General features: G+C 43.4%; 1 protein-coding gene across 9 annotated transcripts in view, besides 2 other annotated features; it reads right to left on the bottom strand.

Annotated features, from left to right (window-relative positions):
- Window positions 1-23,691, bottom strand: part of ATP8A2 (ATPase phospholipid transporting 8A2) — a 653,878-nt gene that overhangs the window by 92,110 nt on the left and 538,077 nt on the right. Inside the window, exon 34 of one of the 9 annotated variants that reach the window (NM_001411006.1) lies at window positions 6,031-6,631. The exons of the other annotated variants lie outside the window; for them this stretch is intronic. Coding sequence (NP_001397935.1) covers window positions 6,497-6,631 — 135 coding nt within the window. The 3' untranslated portion in view covers window positions 6,031-6,496. Of the gene's footprint in view, window positions 1-6,030; window positions 6,632-23,691 lie in introns of those variants that run through there. 9 annotated transcript variants of the gene reach the window in all.
- Window positions 21,993-22,547: an enhancer, noted in NCBI's record as "OCT4-NANOG-H3K4me1 hESC enhancer chr13:26485333-26485887 (GRCh37/hg19 assembly coordinates)". NCBI's record gives its function as "activates a minimal SCP1, AML or CMV promoter by ChIP-STARR-seq in primed H9 embryonic stem cells {active_cell/tissue: H9 hESC(primed)}" and the evidence as "EXISTENCE:reporter gene assay evidence [ECO:0000049][PMID:30033119]".
- Window positions 22,548-23,103: an enhancer, noted in NCBI's record as "OCT4-NANOG-H3K4me1 hESC enhancer chr13:26484777-26485332 (GRCh37/hg19 assembly coordinates)". NCBI's record gives its function as "activates a minimal SCP1, AML or CMV promoter by ChIP-STARR-seq in primed H9 embryonic stem cells {active_cell/tissue: H9 hESC(primed)}" and the evidence as "EXISTENCE:reporter gene assay evidence [ECO:0000049][PMID:30033119]".

Below are 23,691 nucleotides of genomic sequence, written 5' to 3'. Positions count from 1 at the left end.
CTTCAGCTTGTGTGAGTATCTGTCACGTGGCCTTTGAGGCTGCCTTAGACTGGGCTTGAGTGCAGCACTGAAGCTGGGTCTACCCCCATGCCCTTGGGAAGGCCTAGGTGTGCACCCTCCCAGTCTTCCCATAACCACTGGCTACACCTGACTGATAGGCACCTACCTACGTCCTAGTGTAATCACGATCACTGCTGTCATTTACTCAACACTCATCCTGAGCCAGGCATTGTGCTAAGCACTTTAACATGAATTTAAAAAGAAAAAAAAGAAACTGAATTAACAGAGGAAACCCTGTGATCTTGAATTTCATTTTGCAGATGGTATTAAGAGGCATAAAGAGATTAGGTGATATGTCTGGGGCCAAGCAGACAGAAGCGGTCTAGCTTAGAGATCCTGTGCTCAGAACTGCCAGGCTATCCTGCATAGCCAAAACCATCAGGGAAAATAGGAAGGGAATCCAAGAACATCCCCGCCAAGCGAGGCAGAAAATTAAGATGGGAAACTGAGCTGGCCCTGCCATGTTATCTGGCATCTGTAGAAGAAGCAGCTGAGGAAACAGAAGTTGGAATAAAAATCCACACACAGGGCAGGTGCAGTGGCTCATGCCTGTAATCCCTTTGGGGATTACTTTGGGAGGCCAAGGTGGACGGATCACCTGAGATCAGGAGTTTGAGACCAGCCTGGCCAACATGGCAAAGCCCTGTCCCTACCAAAATATACAAAAATTAGCGAGGTGTGGTGGCATGCACCTGTACTCCCAGCTACTGGGGAGGCTGAGGTGGGAGAATCACTTGAACCTGGGAGGCGGAGGTTGCAGTGAGCCGAGATCACGCCACTGCACCCCAGCCTGGGTGACAGAGTGAGACTCCGTCTCAAAAAAAAAGAAAAGTTCATGCACAGCTCACAACAATGCACTGGTAACGGGAAGCCTAACTAAGAAGATGAAAAGTGAAATTTGGGGGGCATTAACTATGGTTCCTTTCAGGTCTAAACCTCATAACTGACTTCCCCAGCAGGCTTTGAGCAATCAAAACACCCAGGACAAATCCCATAAGCATACCTAATTGAATAATCCAGATTCTGTTTGCTTGGGTTTTTGAAGCATCAAAACAGTTCCTTTGTGTGCTTACTTTGGCTCCCCTGCAGTTTTAATTAAGCCTCCCAAGGCTCACAAGCATATTAAAATTAGGTGGAAAGAAAACCTGCAGCCTTTGATGCCAATGACCACAAGGTGCAAGTATTTGGGTTTGATCTTTTGCTACAGCAGCTACAGCTGATGCTCGAGAGCCACCCCAGAGGGAAATTTTCCTGTTTATTTTCCTTTGTGGGGAGGGGGCAATGGTTACTCAAGTGATGAAAAGGGTTCTTTCTTGCGGGAAGCTGCGACAAAACAGACACCAAGGAATCCCCAAGCAAAATGCTCCCTGGCGTTTCTTCTCTGGCTAATCCCAAGAGACTGGAGGTAGGTGCTGTTTTCTGAGGACCACACCAGAGGCCTTTTTCCTTTCTGTTCCCCTCTGAGATCCACATTCAGCACAACATCTGCTCAGCCAGCTAAGCTGACGTGCTTCCGTGCTACATTTTTTCTACTGTACGGGGAGCATCCATCACTGTGTGGGTAAGTTTATAACAGGTCCCCAAACCTCAACTCTCCAGCTTTCCCCTTTCTTTCTTTCTTTTTTTTTTTTTTGAGATGGAGTTTCACTCTTGTCACCCAGGCTGGAGTCCAATGGCGTGATCTCGGCTTGCTGCAACCTACACCTCCCTGGTTCAAGTGATTCTCCTGCCTCGGCCTCCCAAGTAGCTGAGATTACAGGCACCCGCCACCACACCCAGCTAATTTTTGTATTTTTAGTAGAGACGGGGGTTTCTCCATGTTGGCCAGGCTGGTCTCGAACTCCTGACTTCAGGTGAAACGCCCGCCTCGGCCTCCCAAAGTGCTGGGATTATAGGTGTGAGCCACCGCACCTGGCCCTGGCTTTTCCCTGTCTTGGATGCCACTTCACACTCTGATGAAGGCTCTTTTCAACGTTGGCCACGGGCTTCAAGATTCTTCCCCCAGCTCAAGCTCCTTCTAATTTACTTCCATTTGGTTCAGGTATTGCAGACTGTTCAGTGCTCTCAGCCTCACGACGGGCAGAGCACCCACCATCACAGCCCACTGCTTATCCAGCATGCCTGTCAAACAAGGTTCTGCACTCGTCAGTCGAGGGGGGTGGGGGATGACACCAGAGCCCATGGGGCACAGTCACTTCTGTGGCATCTTACATTCGAACTGCTTAGCATAGGACAGGAGCCATAATGAAGATAAAGCAATATACAGGTTGAATATCCCTTAATTGAAAAGCTTGGGGCCAGAGGTATTTTGGAGCTCAGATTTTCTTGAATTTTGGAATAATTGCATATACATCATGAGGTATCCTGGAGATAGGACCCAGGTCTAAACACGAAATTCATTTACATTTCATATATACCTCACAGACATAACCTGAAGGTGATTTTCTTTTTCCCTTAGGGACGTTAAATGAACCGTGTTCTATGCATCTGTGTTTTGGCTGCGACTCAGCACATCAGCCCAGGTGTGGAATTGTCCACCCGTGGCGTCCTGTCAGGTCTCAGAAAGTTTCTGATCTGGGGGCACTTCAGATTTTGGATTTTCACATTAGGGAGGCTCACCCTGTACTGTGGAAGAACAAGGGAGGCAGAGGTCACTTCTGGTTGGGGACAAATCCAAAATGTGTCATGAACTGGTCTTGTCAAAGTGGGTGCAGTTTTCATATTAAAATAGCAACAGGAGGGAGCTGGAGAGGCAGGACCAGCAGGACGAAAGGAACACCGGCGGCAAGGCTGAGTAGTTCCTCCCATGTGGGGGATGTGGAGGAGGCGTGACAGGTCGGCTGCAGCCAGACCCTAAGGCCCATGCATGGCAGCTGGGTGGCTGAGATTCTATCTGACAGACAGTGAGATGGCACTGAGCCTTCATTTGTTATCCAACCAAAAAATACTTTTGAGCCCATGTTATGTGTGAGACACTGAGCCACTTGCTGGGCACACAATGACGAAAAAAAAACCACATAAGGTTCCTCATCTGAAGATGCTTACATTCTGGGGAAGGGGAAACATGTTAACACGAAACAAATAACACAATTAACATTCTTGTCATAAATGGCAATGAAAGAAAGCATTTTGATGCCATTGCAGAGAGGGCTTAGGGATTCCCTCACGAGGTAGTATTTGAGCTGAGTCCCCCAGAAGGTGCAGAAATTGGCAAGAGAGTTTGGGGAGCTGCACACAGAGGCAATAGCCCACACAAAGGCCCTGAGTGCAAGGCCTAATGCACAGGAGGAACTGGGCGGGGTGGGGGATGGGGGCGGAGGTGGGCAGATAGTGCTTTACGGGGAAGCTAACAGGACAGGGCCAGGCCAGACTGGGACTTGTTAGCAGGTATCTGGGTTCTAAGTATAATTCTACATCATTAAAGGGTTTGAAAGAGAGAAGGAACATGGTTTGATTCACATTGTTAAAAGATCATTCCAGGTGCAGTGCAGAAGTGAGGGGAGAGTGTCAGCGTGGAGGGAGAGGAGAACAGCATTAAATGCTGCAGGCAGGCTAAGGGGCAGACTGGCAAAGACCTATGGGTCTCAGAGACTAGAAAGACCCTCATGACCCATGAGAGAAAAGCCCCACGTTGTGCAAGGAGCAAAGGCACGTGGGGCAGCACAGGAGCACGTGGGGCTGCCCTACCTACAAGCTGGAGAGAACCGTGGAGCAACAGAGCACAGTCATTTAAAGCATTTTGGGAGTTCACGTTCGGGAAGTTCAGTGACATTAGGGAAAAGCCCATGGGGATAGGGGAATTAAAAATGTACAAGTAGTCACAGGATTAGGCAAGGTTTGGATTTTGGGTTTTTTTTAGAGACAGGGTCTCGCTCTGTTGCCCAGGTTTGAGTGCACTGGCATGATCACAGCTCACTGCAACCTCAAACTCATGGGCTCCAGCCATTGTCGAGGTGCAGCGCCACCACATCTAATTTTTTATTTTTTGTAGAGACGAGGTCTCACTGTGTTGCCAGGCTGGTCTCAAACTCCTGGGCTCAAGGGATCCTCCCATCTCGGCCTCCCAAAGCACTGGGATTACTGGCATGAGCCACTGAGCCCGGCCGCTGGCAAGGTTTTTTGAAAATCTTCATTTTGTTCAGGGGTAGCATGGAGGGGAGTATCAGGTTGTGTTTGTATGTAACTAAAAATTCGGCAAACAGTGGCTCAAACAAACAGTGGTTGATTTGTGACCCAATGTAATTCTGAAGGATATATCTGCCTTCTTGGTGCTCTCAGGTGCCCAGGACTTTCAGTGCTTTAGCACCGCCACCCTCATGTGGGCCACCTTTCCTCTTGCTTGCAGCCTCACCGTTCCAGGATGGTCACTATGGCAACGGGCATCCCATCTGCCTTCAGGGAAGGGAGAGAAGGCAGCCCCCACCAGCTCTGCCTGCGTGCTGGACGTCCGGTGACTTCCCTGGTGCTCTCCAGCCCACTCTGGCTCACATGGTCACGCACATTTACGATGGAGGCTGGGGATGCCCATATTTGTCTCTTCAGCATCCTCAGTGGGAAGTGGTAGGAATGAAAGAGGTTGTTAGCGGCTTGTGAGTCAGCCACAGAGATGCAGAACATAACCTCGGGAAGAGGTTGTTAGCCTTAAGCACATAGAAAAATTGCAGGGATTCCCAAAAAAGACAGAGAAGATAGATGATACAGAGAAGTTTTGAAAAAGAGAGGCATCTGTGTTTTGACTGCGACTCAGCACATGAGCTCAGGGGTCGAACTGTTCACCCGTGGCATCCTGTCAGGTCTCAGAACGTTTCCGATTTGGGGGCACTTCAGATTTCGTATTTTCACATTAGGGAGGCTCACCTTGTACTGTGGAAGAATAAGGGAGAACTTTCACTGCCATTTATGAAACAGTGCAGCCATCAGCCTGAGGCATGGGACCACCCTCTGAATGCAAGGGAGGGAAGAAGAGAGCTGGTGAGTCTGGGAATGTCATCTTGGACAATAGTGACGGAAAGTCAACAAGATGGGTAATCCACGGAGTTACCACGGCACAGGAATCCTACAACTGTTCTATTATTGAAACACCACTTCTGAGTATCAGTTTTCTTTTAATTATTTAGAGTAATCATTTTCTTTCTCTTTAAAGGTTGGCTTTCGAATTTGCGTGGAGTTCTTGCTCTCTATTCCCTGCTCTGATATTCCATAGGAATTCTTCTCTATATAGAAGGGACTGGCTGAGCTAATTTTAGAGAGGATGAAAATCAATACAGGCTCAATGTAAATGAAGGAGAGAGGACTAAGAAAAAATTTCAATGATGTTCATTTGAACACAGAGAAGTCAACGGAATAAATGATTCCTCTATATTCTTCGTGACAGAAATAATATAATTCTGAATCAACTGAAAAGGTTCTAGTATCTATGATTCCAAAGGGAGTCTTTAAATATTCATGTCTGCTGACTCTCTCCTCTTCCCTAACACAGGCCCCCTGGCCATCTGCTCTGGAAAGCCCCAGAGTGTCAAGGGGGCTGTGACTTCTGCCAAGCTGGGGCCACTTTCCAACTGACGGGGAGAAGATGTGGGTTTGTAGAACTTACCAGTTGTTTTCTCTAGGGTTTGAAACCATAACATTTCCATTCAGAGGAAATAGTCTAGGATGTTTATTTTTTCAACCTTCATGAATATTAAAAGCACTGAATTGAAGCCAAAACATAAGAGAAATGAATGCAGTGATACCAAATGTGGGTGTTCTGCTTTCAAAGCCATCTTCGGCAATGTAAAATGTTTGAAGCAAAAGAAGATAAATGGTATCAACATAAAGCTAAATCAAATACAGTTTGGAGACAAAGCAATCGCAATTTCATCTGGGCTTTTGCCATACTCTAGGCAGGACAGCAGCCTGAGAAAGAAACACCTTGTTATATGAGTGAACAGCAGAGATGGATGAACATCTACGAAAAATTCAATGTGCCAATTCTTTTTTAAGGTTCAGATTTATTCAGCCTGGATATACCATGAACCTCTGAGGATTTACATATCTTTCACTTGCTATGAAGAACTAATAACCAGTGAGTGGCTTTGATAAGACCGTATGAATATTCAGGCCTTTTAAATCTCTGCGTGTGGAGACACGTATTTCTCAGCATGAACTCATCTAACTACAACATACATCCTATTATTTCTTTTCGGACTCTGCTGGCCCAAAAGCAGCGCCATGGTTTGAGAAATGCTAACTGGCATTATGACCCAGAAAAGCTCAGAATTCTGACACAGGCAGCTACCAGCCTATTTTGAGATTGGGAATCATTTGGGGGCCCCCAAAAGTCAAACCTGATTTATTTTCAAAGAAAAAAACCAAACACTGAACTCACTCCTGAAATGAAGAAGCCATGGACTTTTGTTCAACAAAGGTGATAAAATGCAGACGTTTAATCTTTCTGTCAGATGCAGTTTCCAGTGTGTGGAGCAGCCGAGGAGGAGTGGGGCTCCGGGGCACAGGGACCCGCCGTGCAGCACGGAGGGCAATATCCAGCTAGTGTTTGTGTGCTCGTATCAGGACAAACCATGCATGTGAGCTACAGGAAAGGGAAGAAGGTGAATGAATGAAGACTGGGTAGGAGGCAAATCAAACACAAAACAATCACACAGGAGAGAGTGGCAAGGAGAAGGAGCGGGAGGCACAGCAGGATGCAGGGAAAGTGCCTTGCTTATCTGCCTGTGGCCCTCCCAGGGCTCTCTGGGCACCAATAGAAGTCACTACCAAGTCATTTTCAATCTATTTGTTCATGCTTTCAAACATTTCCGAGAGCTCTGCAATAATTTAAAATTTTTAAAAATTGTAGAATTTCTGTAGAGATGGGCTCTTGCTATATTGCCCAGGCTGGTCTCAAACTCCTGGCCTCACATGATCCTCCAGCCTTGGCCTCCCAAAGTGCTGAGATTACAGGCGTGAATCACTATGCCTAGCCTACGATAATTTAAAATTTAAGTTTTTTGTGACTGGTAATAAATCATTTATTTTTATTTTCAAATTTTAAGCTTATTTTGGGGACATGATCCCCAAATCCCCATGATCTGTTGCATGTTTCATTCATTCATTTAGCAAAACAGCCATTGAACACCTATTACATGCCAGACACAGTATTCCATGCAGCAGATACCATGGACTATAAGGGAGACCCAGTTCCTGCTCCCCAGAGTCCCCGTCCATGTATTGGAAAACAAATATATTAAATGAATGATAAATGGCATAAAAGTTACAGTCAGTGCTCTGGGAGTTGATGGTAGGTAGGGGAGGAGTGGAGAGTGATCAGGAAAGATCCTGGATGCCTGAAAGATGTGTAGGAGTTGATGTGGTGACAGGGGAGGGGCCATGGAATGGGAAAAATAGACGACCCTGCTCTAGGTATAGGCAAGGCCCCAGATGCTGGAGAGGGCCAGGAACATTCCAGGAGCTACCATGGTGGAGCACAGAGTACAAGGGAAAGTTGCCATGGAAACAAGTTAGATTGTGGAGAGTCTTTAAGTCTTGTTAGGAATCATGGACTATTTCATAATGTCAAGCTGAAGCTTATTGAAGGGTTTAAACAGCATAAAAATACACTCAGATCCACATTTAAGACAATTTAATTATGGAAATTTACTATGAAAATTGAGAACTGACTGGGTGCGGTGGCTCATGCCTGTAATCCTGGCACTTTGGGAGGCCGAGGCAGGTGAATCACCTGAGGTCAGGAGTTTAAGACCAGCCTGGCCAATATGGAGAAACCTCGTCTCTACTAAAAATACAAAAATTAGGCAGGCATGGTGGCGCGCCTGTAGTCCCAGCTACTTGGGAGGCTGAGACAGGAGAATTGCTTGAACCTGAGAGGTGGAGGTTGCAGTGAGCCGAGATCATGCCATTGCACTCCTGCCTGGGCAACAAGAGCAAACTCCGTCTCAAAAAAAAAAAAAAAGATTGACAACTTTAGCCAAGTTAATTTTTTTGTTCTGTGTATATATTTCAATCATTACATGAAACATATTTTACATGTTTGTTCCCTTTACTAGTTCTTTGAGGACAATGGCCAAGCATTTCATTACATTCTCAGCAACTAGTTCAATGCCTGTCAAGAAGGAGACCCATCTACAATTTTGTTTTTTTTTTTTTTGAGACAGAGACTCACTCTGTCGCCCAGGCTGGAGTGTAAGTGGCGCGATCTCAACTCACTGCAAGCTCTGCCTTCCAGAGCTCACGCCATTCTCCTGCCTCAGCCTCCCGAGTAGCTGGGACTACAGGCGCCTGCCACCACACCCGGCTACTTTTTTGTATTTTTAGTAGAGATGGGGTTTCACCATGTTAGCCAGGATGGTCTCGATCTCCTGACCTTGTGGTCTGCCTGCCTTGGCCTCCCAAAGTGCTGGGATTACAGGCGTTGAGCCACAGCGCCCTGCCCCCACCTAATAATTTTTTTAGTCTGAATAAAAACAGTAAGCACCTGAAAGTCACTGTGACTTCACAAACCCAGCTGAGAGAGGATTTTTTTCAGGGAATAAAAGTACCACATCACTTATTAAAAAAAAGAAAAAGGCAATTCAGTCTTTTATCTGGTTAGTTATTACTGAGAATTTTATACAGAAGGAACCCAGAACACCTAGCATTAGTCTGTTCTCATGCTGCTAATAAAGACGTATCTGAGACTGGTTAATCTATAAAGAAAAAGAGGTTTAACGGACTCACAGTTACGCATGGCTGAGGAGCCTCACAATCATGGCAGAAGGCAAAGGAGGAGCAAAGGCATGTCTTACGTGGCAGCAGTCAAGAGAGTGTGTGCAGGGGAGCTACCCTTTTTAAAACCATCAGATATTGTGAGACTTATTCACTATTATGAGAACAGCATGGGAAAAACCTACCCCCATGATTCAATTACCTCCCACCGGGTCCTCCCATGACACATGGGGATTATGGGAACTACAATTCAAGGTGAGATTTGGGTGGGGACACAGCCAAACCATATCATACCTCAATGAAAAAAATATCATTATACATTAAGTATTCCCCCCCAATCAAATGTTGAAGCCCTAGCCCTTAGTATCTCTGAATATGACCTTATTTGGAAATAGGGTCATTGCAGATACAATTAGGTTGAAATGAGGTAAATAGGGTGAGCCCTAATCCAGTATGACTCATGTCCTTATAAAAAGGGCAAATTTGGACACAGACACAGACACAGGAAGGCCCGCACGTGAAGAGGAAAGAAAAATCAGGGTGATGCTTCTATAAGCCAAGGAATGCAGAAGATTGCCAAAAAAACAGAAGTTAGGAGAGACCTGGAACAGATTTTCTCTCACTGCTCTGAGAGGGAACCAACCCTGTCAACACCTTGATCTTTGACTTCCAGCCTCCAGAAATGCAAGGCAATCATTTCTATGGTTAAAGCAGCCCGGTCTGTGGCATTTTCTACCAGCAGCCCTAGGAAATGAATCCAGATATCTACAGGAGGTCAGGTCTGTGACCACTGCATTAATTGTTCTTGTTAAGCCTTTAGTGACTCTGTTCTGAGTGGGAGAGGCACAGCAGACAACGTGGAAGGAGGAGGGACTGTGCTGTAGGACATCATCCATCCATTCAGTTCTTTTGCAGATGGGGGAAGCAGGCTGAAGGGTAGCTTCCTGGCTAGTACTGGTTTCCCCATCCATCTCAGCTATTTGGAAAAGAATTATCCTTTGATAATGATGAAAGTCCATCATTTAACAAACCAGACACTGTAACTATACTATCATTTTCCTGCAATGTCTTATGCAGCCAGAGAACAACCACACAGAAGATGCTAGGATTACATAATCTACCTATGTGGCAATCTTAGAAAAACAAAGCCAGAAAGAATTTAAATTGTTAAACCCCATGTCTACAGAAAGATGAAGATCAAAGCCATCATAAAATATTCCTACGCTGGATCTAGGTAGCATCTTTTATGAGAATAATGGACATCTTTCATGTCCATTTTTTTTTATTATTTTGATGTCTTCTAGGGGACAGAGGGACTTATGATCATGCCTATTTTACAGAAAAAAAAAAATGGAGGCTAAGGGTTGAATTATCCCCAGGCTACACTGGATCTACATGGCAGGATGGGATCTGGACTTGTTCACTGTTAACTTCAGTCTTGACAATTTACAAAAAGAAATGTTGGCCTGCTGGACATCAATATTAATAGCGTCATTTTTCTTAAGTTGAAAAAGGTGGTAGGAAAAAGCAGATAAGGATTTCACAACCTGTGCGTTTCAGGCTCTTAGCACTTAGCCTGGCCCTCTACAGCTGTGGACTGCAGCTTACCCTTTCTGTCCCAAATGTCTTGCGGTGTGCTGGCTTGTAGGAGGCAAATAATAAATGTTCGCTGAAAGTGAAATAAAAGACTTTAATAAAATACAATTTTAGAAAGACTTCATGAACTGGCAAGTAAATTGCTGCTGCTCTTGGCAGGGCTACACTGGTGGATCTGGGAAGGGGAAACTTGACTGGTATTGTTAGGCTAAATATGATAATTGCAATCCTTTTCTGGTGTGAGGAGGGCCACTATTTCTTAATTTGTGTTCCTACTAAGACATGTGTTTCTAGGTTGTTCCTTTGCTTTCTAAAGTAAACAGGGTGGCCAGGTCTGGTTCTATTTAACCCCACTTGTCCCTTTCCCTTCACATTGAAAATCAACGGAAAAGAGTCCACATCAGTTCTGGATCAACATGGCGCAGGGTCCAAGACTGGTTCCCTGTAAGAGAAGGCATCTCCTGGGCTTCCTAGCAGGCAAGGGTCTGGGTACAATTGCAGGAATGAGGCTACAAGGATTAGAATTTGTGTCTGTCACAGTCAGGAAGCCCAGCCAGCTCACAGTTGCCTGAGATGCAAACAGATGAGCAACAAATGTGTAGGGCCTACCGATCCCCCCTTCTTTGGGAACCCACACCCCTGTGTAGGATATCTGGACCTGTGTGGACGTATTAGATGTGGCCTACTAATTCTAATGGCCAGCCAGAAAAAGAATGCGAGAACGTCACTGACCCTCCTGCCTTGTGCTCTCCGAAGAGCTCCGGGAATGCGAGTGTATAACCTCTGAGCACTTGGTGGCCTTCTACAGAAGGTGCAGGCAGCTGCCTACGGGAAACCAACTCCCTGCCCACTGACTGGAAACAGATGTCCCTTTCTGTCATCTCTGCAAATTGTTGCAATTCCATAGTGTGATAGTTGTCAACTTCCTTCTATTTGTGGTTCACTGAAACATCAGGATCTGAAGATTTCATCGTCTTGTCACCAGCTAACATAAATGCCTAAAACAAGGTTGCAATAATAAAACTAATTGTACTGATTTATGTAAAAGCATCCTTTTATTCTAAACACCTATAAATCCACCTGGGGCCCTGCTCAGACTCACTCAGATCATCCAAATTCTGTATGTTACTTTAGAAGAAAAACTCTTAACAAGCATAATAAACTGACCACAGAGATTTTTTGAAATTGCGTGTTACTGATTAGGATGATGGACCCACCTGCAGAATTTTAGGGTAAGGAGAACTTTTATTGATGATGTGGTACAATTCCACGTCCTTATTCTTCTATATTGAGGTTATAGGCAATCATTAACACCAGAATTTTCCTGCTCTATTCTAAAACCCCAAAAATGTAGTTAATTCTTATTTCCCAAACTTCACAAAAGTGCCAATGGTTTTACAAAATCTAACAAATGGTTTTACAAAATCTAACAATGGTTTTACAAAAATCTAACAAATAAACTATAGAAGGAAAAAGATTCACTACCTCAATACGTTATTTACTTAATCTGGTTTAGAACTATATTAATATTTCAATATACTTTTCACTTTAATACACATTCGATCAAATAAATACCATAAACTATACTTCAAACCATAAATATTATACGGTTCTACAACATATCACCTAATCAATCAAAATAGCATATTCAGCTTTAGACCTAAGTCTTTCATGACAGTACAAGATTTCACAAGTAAATAAATTACACGTAGAACAAAATATGAACTTCAACTCAGTTTTTTTCTTTTTTTTTTTTTTTTTGAGACAGAGTCTAGCTCTGTTGCCAGGCTGGAGTGCAATGGCGCAATCTTGGCTCACTGCAACCTCCGCCTCCCAGGTTCAAGCAATTTTCCTGCCTCAGCCTCCCAAGTATCTAGGACTACAGGTGCCCGCCACCACACCTGGCTATTTTTTTTTTTTTGTATTTTTAGCAGAGACAGGGTTTCACCAACCTGGCCAGGCTGGTCTTGAACTTCTGACCTCGTGATCCACCCGCCTCAGCCTCCCAAATTGCTGGGATTACAGGTGTGAGCCACCGTGCCTGGCCTCAACTCAGTTTTTCTGATGTCTGATAATTTTTCAGATAATTTGAGGAAAAAGAGTCCATGATATGTACTCTAATATTAGCATACTGTTTTGTAGGAAAAGTCTTTTAGCCTCACTGTTAAATTTTGCTAAGATCTCATTCCTGAGTCATTGCTTTTACAACGCAATGGGAGTGAGGAAAAGAGGACTGTATGGCTTCTCAGGCTACAAGGAAGGAAGATACAGTTTCTGCCCTCTGCTTTTGTTTTGTTTTGTGGTTTATGTTTTGAGACAGAATCTCACCCTGTTGCCCAAGCTGGAGTGCAGTGGCATGATCTTGGCTCACTGCAGCCTCGACCTCCCAGGCTCAGGAGATTCTCCCACCTCAGCCTCCCGAGTAGCCAGAACTATAGGCGAGCACCACCACACCTGGCTAATTTTTTTGTATTTTTAGTAGAGACAGGTTTTCACCAGGCTGGTCTCGAACTCCTGGGCTCAAGTGATTCACCCACCTCGGCCTCCCAAGTGCTGGGGTTACAGGCAGGCCCAGCCTGCCCTCTGGATGCGAACAGTTTTTCTCAGATCATAAATAAGTAAAAGCAAAATAAAGAAATGTTGACAGTATTTAGGAAAAGGAGTCTGTCAAAGGCAGAGGAAGGGCATGGGAGCCTCAGAGCACCAGAAGCTGCAGGATGGGCCTCCATGGGCATCCTGGCCAGAGACCGTGAGGTTCTTGTGAGGCTGGGCAGGGTAGCCTGCAAGGAGACTTGGCAAATTACCAGGCCTGGTGACTGATGAGTCTGGTAAGAGGGAGGACTTCGGCTTTTGGCTCTGTGAGCTGGTGGATGGTGGAGCCATTTACTAAGGCAGAAACACAGGCAGAGGAGGAAGTGGGCAGGGGAACACAAAGACATCTTTTTCACAAGTGCCGAGCTTAGGATGTGTGTGTGTGTGTTAATAATGTGTGTAGATTGATACATCTGGAGGGCACTGGGTCACTGAGTCCAGCACCAGGAAGGGTGACCTAACTTTTCAGAGATTTAGATTTGGAGGTCATACACGTGCAGGTATGAATGGAAGCCAGAAGAGTACAAGGACCATTCAGGAAGAATGAGCCAGTATCTACGGGCTCAATGCTGAGGTGTAGAACCCAAACCTGTAAGTTACAGAAGAGGGAAAAGGCCGAGAAGGAGTTGGGCTAGCTGGAACACAAAAAGAATCTGAAGAAGGGTTTTTAAGAACCAAAGGAAGTGAGTTCAAGACAAAACAACGCTGGTCGCAGTGGTTCACACCTGTAGTCCTGGCACTTTGGGAGGCTGAGGTGGGAGGATTGCTTGAGCCCAGAAGTTCGAGACCAGCCTGGACGACATAGCGAGACCCCTGTTTGTATAAACAGTTGAAAAATTAGCCAGGCCTTGTAGTACATGTCTGTGGTCCCAGCTACTTGGGAGGCTGAGGTGGGGGCACTGCCTGAGCGTGGGAGTTCAAGGTTATGGGAGCTATGATCGAGGTTATAGTGAGCTATGACAGCACCACCGCACTCCAGCCTGAGCAACAGAGCAAGACTCTGTCTCAAGAAAATCTCCCAAAACTGACAAAAGTACAGAGAGGTCTATAAGAAAGATACAGAAAATCTTTGGAATTGGAATTAAAAGCCAGCTGCCGACTCAGGTGAGACTAGTTTCAGAGTATGAGGGGCAGTGATGGGCTCTGACAGGTAAGGGCTGACCTGGAAGTAGGGAAGTGGGTTGAGGGAGGGTAAACTTCCCTTAAAGTGACACTGTAGTCTCTTAGGGCAGGAGCTGGAGGAGGGGTAGAGAATCCTGAGGCTCCCGCAGCCCACCTCGCAGCACCTTCTACAAACTCAGAGCTCAGACAGCCCTCCTCAGCAGAAAGATATACATTCTTTCACATCCCGAAACCAAAAATGCAAAACCCAAATCCCTCCAGTCTCTCAGATGTGGAGATCTGAATACAGTTATAAAGGAGAGGGTACGCTCAGATAAGAATCACACCAATTCTAAATGTTGTAAGTGGCTATCCCTGGCTGACATCATCTGCCATATGCTGGATGCTTTAGCGGAGGCCTTGTCTATATTTTCCCCAGATGAACTGATGTTGTCTTCCCTCAGGTCTGAGTCTTAACTGTGGGCTTACCTGAACATTTTGAGTAAAAAGGACAATGTATACTTTTGGAAAAGAACATATTAAAGGATGGGTAGCTTCATATCTGGAAAAATATACATTCCTTTACATGTGAATTTCACTTACTTTCCAGGTATTACTTAGTTCAGGTTTAAAAAAGAGAATTCATTATCTATGGTTTTCATGCAACACAGTTGCTCATATCTACTTTTGGGGATCACATGTGTTGTATCTCTGCCTATGAGGAATAGTATTTTAAACTACCTTTTCTTGCTGTTTAGCTCCCATTTGAACACCAACCCCCAGGGTGCAATTTGCACCCTTTAATAATTTTTATGAGGAATACACAATAAGTTATTTAAAATAATCACAGTAACCAATACAGCAGTCCTCTAACATCATGTTACAAGTGGGGTCCAAAATGAAATGAAATAACCAGGATCGGCTGCTGGGAGGGATGGGAGACAAGTGCCAATCAAACACCAAATCATCTTATCCTTGGTTTCACTGCATCCAAATTTTCTATGTGTTGACTTGTGCAATTCATAGAAAATTTATTGTTGCGGGGGGGAGGCTTTCACAAACTAGGACAAATTATCTTTAAAATAAGCAATTATAATATATTATAACATAAACTGCTGCTTATTCCCTTCCAAATTAAGAGCCCCTTTGGACTGAAGGGTTCCCTTTGGTGTCCTGGGTAACAGACATTGGTTTTTCACTGTTGGATGTTAATATACCACGTTGGCTTTTTTCTTGTTTAATCATGGATCTGGCTCTTTGGGCAACAACGGAGCCACCATCAACAAGTAACCTTGTAACTGGACTATCACATAGTTGAAAGCATATGCAGCCCAATCAACAACTATCACACTTTGGCCTCTTCATTTCTTGTTACAAATTTCCCTCCTTCCTATTTTAATAACTGATGCTCTTCCCAGGAAAAGCTCCTATCTATCACCCAGGAACCTTGAGCATCTTGAGGCATTTTATTTTTATCAGAATGCTTTTGGAAGCCTATCCTTCAAGCTGCACCATTGCCCTTTTATTTCTGAAATGCTCCTTATCTGGCAGTCAGCTCAAATCCATTTATGTGGTTTGGCCAGGATTTCCACTTTACAAGTGATGAATTCATTGAATCTAAAAACATGTCCCTCTACAGATAATTATTCTCTTCAAACATCTGCCTTCTCATATTTCCCTCATCTTCTTCTTCATGGTCAACTATCTTTTGGGGCTTCCAATATTCAAAGAACAAAAATGTATTCTCTGATATTTAAGAAATTTTAGAATTAAATAAGGTTTTACAACTTCTGCAGTCCATGGCTGTGATACATCTATTAACTAATTTAAAATAATACATCGAATTTTGAAGAAATTATTTTTATACTTGCTGGGAAAAAACAAATACATCTTTCTTTAAATATTTATTAGCACAGTGAAAGCCATGCTATTTTAAAACTTCACCAAAATAGAATTTTCTAGTAAATTATTTATGTCAACATTAATGAGTGATTGGTCTTGAAATTACACTTATTTGTATGAATTGTAATTGTTATAGCCACCAGCTGATGCTGTACTTCCTAATGCAGTAGAGTGAGTGACACAGTGTAATGGGCAGGTGTGAAATCCATGAGGCCCAAGACTATAGCCTAGCTTTGCAGCTTAACATCTCTGTGACACTGGGTAGATTACCTCTTCTCTGTCTTTCTCAATTTCTTCATAAGATGCAGACTATAAAAACCCCTTCAGGGTTACTATGAGGAGCAGATATAATCAATGCAAAACAACTACTACTGTATCATATTTGCCTTGACTTTGCATCTGGTAATTTCAGCTGCGGAGTAAGTTAAAACTGGTTCTCTGCAGATTTAGAAAGTCTTTAAATGGGGGGACAAAAAGAAGGAAGGGAAGGGAAGACAAGGGAAGGAAGAAAACCAGGCTAATCTCATTATGCTTAACATTTGGTGTCAACTTTGCTAACTGTATCCATGAAGATATCTAGGACAGGAGAGATCCCTGCCCTGGCCTGGGTTGGAGGATGACTTCAAAGACAAAGACTCTAAAATTCTACTGACATGAAGAGAGGTTACTACCAGGCATGGGCGGCTAGAGTCAATCCTTCTGAGTTGTGTACAATCTGTTAACGCACTAAGAAGTGAAAATAAGTGCAAGATTTAAGGACTTTGAAGTGAGAGCAATTGGACTGATGATAAGGATGTTGGTGCCAGAAAAAAACCCCAAGTTATATGGACCCTGGATATTATCTAGGACTCAGCAAGTGCCCAACATGTGATTTTTGAGTTCAAGTCTCAAGGTAATAAGAAGAGGTATATAGAAAAACATAAATAGAGATAAGAGGAGGCAGAAAGAAGAGAAGCAAACTAATTTACAAATACAACCACAGTGTAACACTCTGTTCAGAGTTAAGGTTTAAAACAACTTCCAGAGCTTGTGCAGCAAAACAAAAATGATGATGGGTTAGGAGTGACATGAGTTACAGGCCAAAAGCTACAAAAAGTGACCCTTTTCTGGGCTTCGATTTCCTCATTTGGAAACAAAGAACTTGGGGTGTTTTCTAAGATTTCCTCCAACCTCGCTGGACCACGTACATCAAACATTGGATCCCATGGCACAGCCGACGCGATAACTTTATGTCTGATCAGTGCAATCGACAAGATTCTGCAGCGGGCTGGTGACAGAAGGGTGAGGCTAAAGGTTGACTCGCCTGCAAGACAGCAACCTGTGAAAATGCACGCAGCTGAACACCAGCACCACATGCACCTGCTGCGGGGACTGTCTGTCTTCTTTGGAATGTCCCCACCAAGGGAATGCAAGACAATTTAAAAAGGAAGGCTGGTACCGTCGACACAGTTCTCTGGCTCAGACCCGGTGTGCTGTGCCCACGGCCTTGTGGGCTGTACTGCAGAAGGTTTGTGCTGAGTGGCGCAGAGGGCCTGGCCACAGACCAGCAGGAGCCTGTTCAAAGGCATATTTAGGATGAGTTATGTGAAAATGGTCTGCAACATAATTTTTTCCCTTTCTGTCACATTGTTAGTGTTTATTAAATCAATGTCTCCATTTCCCTTCCTGTATTTAATCTGACGCACAGTTGGTGGAAAATGTTTTCAAAACCAACCAAGAGCTGATAAATAGCACTGGCTTCATGTTAATAAAGGAATAGGATTGAGACTGCACTAACGCATGGGTTTAAGTAAATAATTACACAAACTCTACGATAGAAAAAAAGAAAAATTTCTTGGTAAATGTTTCATGTTTTTGTTTCAACATTATGATAAATGGACCAACGCACTGGTAGAGAACAACATAATTTTAGTCTTGGAAGGAAACCTTAGAGTTCATTGCAATTCACTAAATACTTATTAAACCTTACTTGGTGCTAGGCACTGCAGTTGCAAAAGCAAGTAAGATGAGGTTCTTGTGTTTAAGAAAACACATGAGGGAGACAGATACAGCCTGGGTCTGTGCTGGGTCTCTAGGACTGGAGTCAGTTCTGCCTCACCCCTGCAGGGGCCAACTCATGCAGGCTGCATTTTCTAGCACCTTCCAACTGGGTCCTCCCAGTGGGAAGCGCTGGCAAGAGGTTAGAGAAGAAGGGAGAAGCCAGGACTTCTCCCCCTGTGCCTGGAGGTTTCCAAAATTGGCCATGTTTCACTTATTGCTCCCGCCCCTGCTGGACTGGCCCACTAGGGCTCCAGCTCCTGAGCTAATGAGCCCAGCGACCCAGCTACTGAGCTTTGGTATATTTATTGCTTCTTGTCTTGGTCCTTTCATCACAGGGTGGTGGCGATTTTCTGCTGTTGTTCACCCCCAGGTTCTCTCTCAGTCCCCTCTATGACATCTGCAATGAATTCCTTTAATTAAATGACAATCTTTTAAATAATTAGCCTGGCTTCTCTGTCCCCAGTTAGACCCTGACTGATACACAACCCGTTGATGGTAACACAGTATGACAGATGCTCCACTAGCGTGGGTTTAAGTACATAATTACACAAATTCTATGATTTCTATAAAGAAGAATTTCACAGAAATGTTTCATGTTTTTGTTTCAACATTATGATAAATGGACCAATGCACTGGTAGAGTGCAACATAATTTTAGAACAGAAGCACTTTAGAACAGAAATGCTTAAGAGCTGTGGGTCGGCACAGAAAGAGATGAATTCTGCTAGGAAGTTTGGAGAAGATTCCACACAGGCAGTAACACCTTTCATGGCGAAACCTTAACAAATGATGAGAGTTTGGTGCTTGAAAGGTGAGCCAAATCCTAACAAATCGGGAAGGGGGAAGAAGGGCGTTCCACAGAGGGATGCACGGCATGTGAAAGCCATGGCTTGGTTCCAGGCTTGGAGTCAAGAGGTGGAGTTAAAGAAAGGGTGGCTGAGGCGGGCAGACAGAAGCCCCATGGGGGAGCACTGCGAAGCCCCTCTAAGGAGACTGGGGTTTGCTCTGTAGGTAGCTGTGACCCTTAACAATTGTCTGTGCAGTGACAGGGGTGTACCATAAGGTAAAGCATGGCGGGAAGGGGATTATGGTTTGGAGTAACTGCTGTAGTTGAGCAGAAGATGACAGGGCCACACCAGTACATCAGCATTGAGAATGTGGATTTGAAGACATACTGGTGAAGGAGAGGAGGGATGGAAACAGATGGATGTGTAGGTTAGGGAATAGTAAGAGCATAAAAAAACCTTCCACATTCCACTTCTGAGCATTGAGATGGATAAGGGTGCTCATCAGTACACAGGTTGTAGAAAATAGATTTTATTTTCAAGTATGTTGATGTTTAGGTGGCCAAGTAAACACACAGGTGTAAAGTGGGAGAGGTTCCTAGAAAAGCCAAGTCTGGCACTTAAGAAAGAGGTAAGGGCTGGATATTTATACTTGATATTTATATTAATATTTAATACACACATACACATTGCAGATTGTCATGGGAATGGAAGTGATACCATAGGAAAACACAGGAAATCCAGGAAGGGCTGAACTCTAAGGAAAAACACACTTAAATGGAAGCCAGGGAAGGAAGAACTGGCAAATGAGATGGAAAGAGATGGATAAGAGGGAACTAGGCAAGAAATAATTTGGATGTCCACAAAGAAGAGTTTCAGGAAGCAGAGGTAGCCATAAGTATCTAATGGCACAAACATCAAGTGAGATGATGACGAGAGTGTCTTTTGGTCTAATGCTGAGGAGTCATATGAGGTCACCTGGTTGTGTCCCTTCATTTTACTGCTCAGGGAACAAACATCCTGGAGTGATGGACAAAACCACCCAAGGGCTCAGAGCTGCTTAGTAATGAAGCTGGACTAGAACTTTGACTTCCATGGTCAGCTAGAAGCCCTCCTGCTAAAGGATACACTTTCTGGGATAAAAACCAGAGCTGCTCCCAGAGAAGCTCAGAAAGACTTTGTACACTATACTAATTTCCTAACTCAAATCACTTCAAAAAATGCTGCTTTTCACCATTTTTTAAATTTGATTCACATTAACCTAAGATAACTTAATTTCTAAAGACTGAACTTATTCGCCAGATCAAGCATCTGAACAAACACAACATGATTTCTGATTGAGACCCTTGAAGCCTAAAGGATGCTCTACACCAGCTTCAGGCAGTGGCATGAACCCCACGCTCTGGTGTATAAATCAGACCTTTTTCTTTGTGAGAAACTAATAAACTTGAGAACTAACAATCAATATCTTGCTTAAATGGTCTCCTTCCATGGCAGACATGCACTAGAAAAAAGTATATTATAGTTTTATGAAAGGAAAATAATTTTCTGGCAAAGAAGGTCAGAATGATGTATCTGAATTTTGTTATATTTAATGGATATATTTTTTTCTCACTTGCTCTTTTAAAAGATGGAAACAAGCATTTCTATTTTTTCACCATTTTTGAGGTGTTTGGATATTTTCCCTTAAATTTTAGGAATGAACTGCCAACGCAGCATCCTGAAACAGTGTAGGCTTCAGAGTCAAACAGCAGTCAGTGTGAATTGCATCTCTATTCCTTCCTGGCTATGCGATCCTGGGGCAATGATGACAACAGATGGCCTATCCAGTACTACTCTATATCTGGCACTGTATGGAATAACATGAGATCAGCTCACTTTGCTCTGCGATTCTTTAGAAAATTGCTATTTTTAACTCTTTATCCCTTTTTGAAAGCAGGAACCTACACGTAGGGATGATAGTAACTTGCTAAAAGTCACACAGGTGACAAGTTGGGAGGGAGACGCAGGGCTATCTGACCTCAAAGGCTACTCAGTTGACCAACGCACTGCTGCATTTAGTGCTTCCACAAACACCTCCTTCTCAGATTGGGCTGTCATAACCACAAAATGAAGCTCCCACTCAGCACCATGTAGTGCCAATTGTTACCGTAATGGAGGTCGGAGACAGCTAGTTTTAAACATTAACCTTGATTGGAATTACAACCCAAACCTCAAAGTAAGACTACTCTGTAGTGCATACTATACCATACTTACACAGTTAATTAAAAAAAATTTAGGTTGTAAATTCACAGATTCAAGTTACATGTATTTATGGGGTGCAAAGTGATGCCATGATTCACGAATACAATGTGGAATAATTAAATCAAGCAAATTAATATATCCCTCACATCAAATACGCATCTTTTTGTGGAGAGAACTTTTGAAATTTACTTTTAGTGATTTTTAAGTGTATGATACATTATTATTTACTATATTCACTACTCTGTATAATATATCTCAAAGAAAAAAACATATTCCTCCTGTCTCACTGAGGCTCTGTACCCTCTGACCATCATCTCTCCATCCCCCATCCCCAGCCTCTGATAACCTCCATTCTACTCCCTGCATCTTTCAGTTTGATTGTTTTAGATTTCACATGTAAGTGACAACATGCAGCACCTGTCTTTCTGTACTTGGCTTATTTCACTTAGCATAATGTTTTCCAATTCCAACCATATTTTTGCAAATGACTAAATCTCTTTTTTAAGGCTGAAGACTATTCCACTGTGTGTGTGTGTGTGTGTGTGTGTGTGTGTGTGTGTGTGTCTCACATTTTCTTTATCCATTCATCCATTGATTGACACTTAGGTTGATTCCATAACTCTGCTATTGTGAATAGTGTTGCAATTAATTTGGGAGTGTAAACATCTTTTTGACATACTGATTTGAAATCTTTGGGTAAATGCCCAGAAGTGGGATTGTTGGATCATATGACAATTCTAGTTATTCTTTTTAAGGAACCTCCATATAGTTTTCCATAATGGTTGTATTAATTCACATTCCAAACTACAGTGTACAAGGGTTCCCTTTTCTCCACAGTTAATTTTTTAAAACAAATTCTAGAGCCTCAGTACCAGGCAAAACGATCTGTAAGATTTCTAGCAAGTTGGGATAGTAAAGAGTGAGATAAGAAAAGGTTTGGGGGCTCATTTAGCCTAACATCTGAACTGGAAATGCCTCTTCTATAAAACGAGCAGCGAAGGTATGTGCTGGAAATAAACCTTGTGTTTTCCTGTGTGGAAGTCAACATTCTGCGGCGTCTCCACCTGTCTAGAGTTGTTGGGCCCAGGTCCTATCCTTCACCATATGAGTTCGAAGCTGCCAAGCTACTAACTCACTTCTTTCAAACTCCTAACTCATTCCTTTATGCAACTCCTTTATGATTCTGAGGATAAGTTTTAGTGGCTCTTAGCACATTTTCCCCCTGTTAAGCTCAAATTAGTCCCCTCTCTGGGACTCCCACTGGGCTGCCTTGGTACATCACAGAACGCTGGCTGAGAAAATCTCTTTTTAGTCCCCTGCAAATCACCCTAGTACCTGCTACTCTGATAGGCCTGTGCCATGCTGTATTATGGAGTAAGAGCTAGCTGCTGAGGGTCAATTATCCCATTGACCAGGCATTACAATAATTCCCAGGAATTAAAAGAGGTACTTATGTGAATCTGGATGCATATTGAAAGAAACATTAGTTCTTTTGTCATCTTGGCAAGTCTATTGTTCCAAGCCAGGCCCAACCAATTAACATCTTTTGCCAATCCCTGTCAGCAGGGGCTTGAAAAGAGGAGAGAAAGGGGTCAGTCAGATGCTAATTTAGATACAATTGTGTCAGGGCTGTTTGGAGGGGCTGGCTCTAAAGAAGCCACCAGGGTTTAATGAAGCAAACAGCTTGGGTCCTGGTGACCCTGCAGGGGTAATTTTAAAAAGACCCCTCTGTGTTCCTGCGCCAAATAACAGAGGAGCATCACAAGAAGCCCTTCCTTAAAAAAAAAAAAAAAAATTGAGAGGGATAATCATCCATTTAATCTGCTCATTAAACAAATCTCTCAGGCGGACTTAACATGAATTAGCACTTCTCTAAAAAGGTAAAATGTGACATACAGCAGACAGTTCAGATAATTTGAAAGGGCACAATTCTTTATTATAAGCTCAATTGTTATTAATGTATTAATACATGGATATTGCGCAAAGACCACCATCTTCATTCAACCTTGTGAGCGAAACAGCGTGTTTTCCTAACTGGAAAACAAAAACACTTTCATCAGGTTCTAGTAGACATCTAAGCACAAATTAAATATAGGAGACACCCGTTGTCCCATGTTTTTCCAATACAGAAATTAAGAAAAAAAATCCAATCTGTTGACTTCTCTCTACTGCTGTCCACATAACACCTGCAGGGCTCACACACAGCTGATAAGGTAACAGCTCAGCTTTGACCATACTGCAGTTCTGCACAGAACTTGCAAAAACCTCTCTCACAAATCTCCTGGCCTTATCTAAAGAGGGATAATGAGTCTTCTCTTTACATTGACTTAATCATTTACAGGTGCCGTGAAAGGGCTCGCTACTGCGTGAAGATGGTATTTACAGTGAGGCATGAGGACTTACACAAATCTGTAACCAGCCAACCTAGAACCCAGAACTTCCAATAAGGGCCTATACCCATTCAAGTATTATTCCATTATGAAAACAGCAAAAATGCCAATTCTGCACCACTTTTGGAAAAATATTTAATATTTCTTGTCAAAAAGTATTACCTATTATAGGAAAAAGAGTGAGGCACATTTCAAAATTAATCAATGCCAAAACAGAAACTTGTGCATCCCTTTTCACTGCGGTATTCTTCACAAAAGCCACAGGCGCGAACACTACCA

Source organism: Homo sapiens, chromosome 13 (assembly GCF_000001405.40).
Source record: "Homo sapiens chromosome 13, GRCh38.p14 Primary Assembly".
Classification (NCBI taxonomy): domain Eukaryota; kingdom Metazoa; phylum Chordata; class Mammalia; order Primates; family Hominidae; genus Homo; species Homo sapiens.
This window is presented reverse-complemented; position numbering and strand designations above follow the sequence as displayed.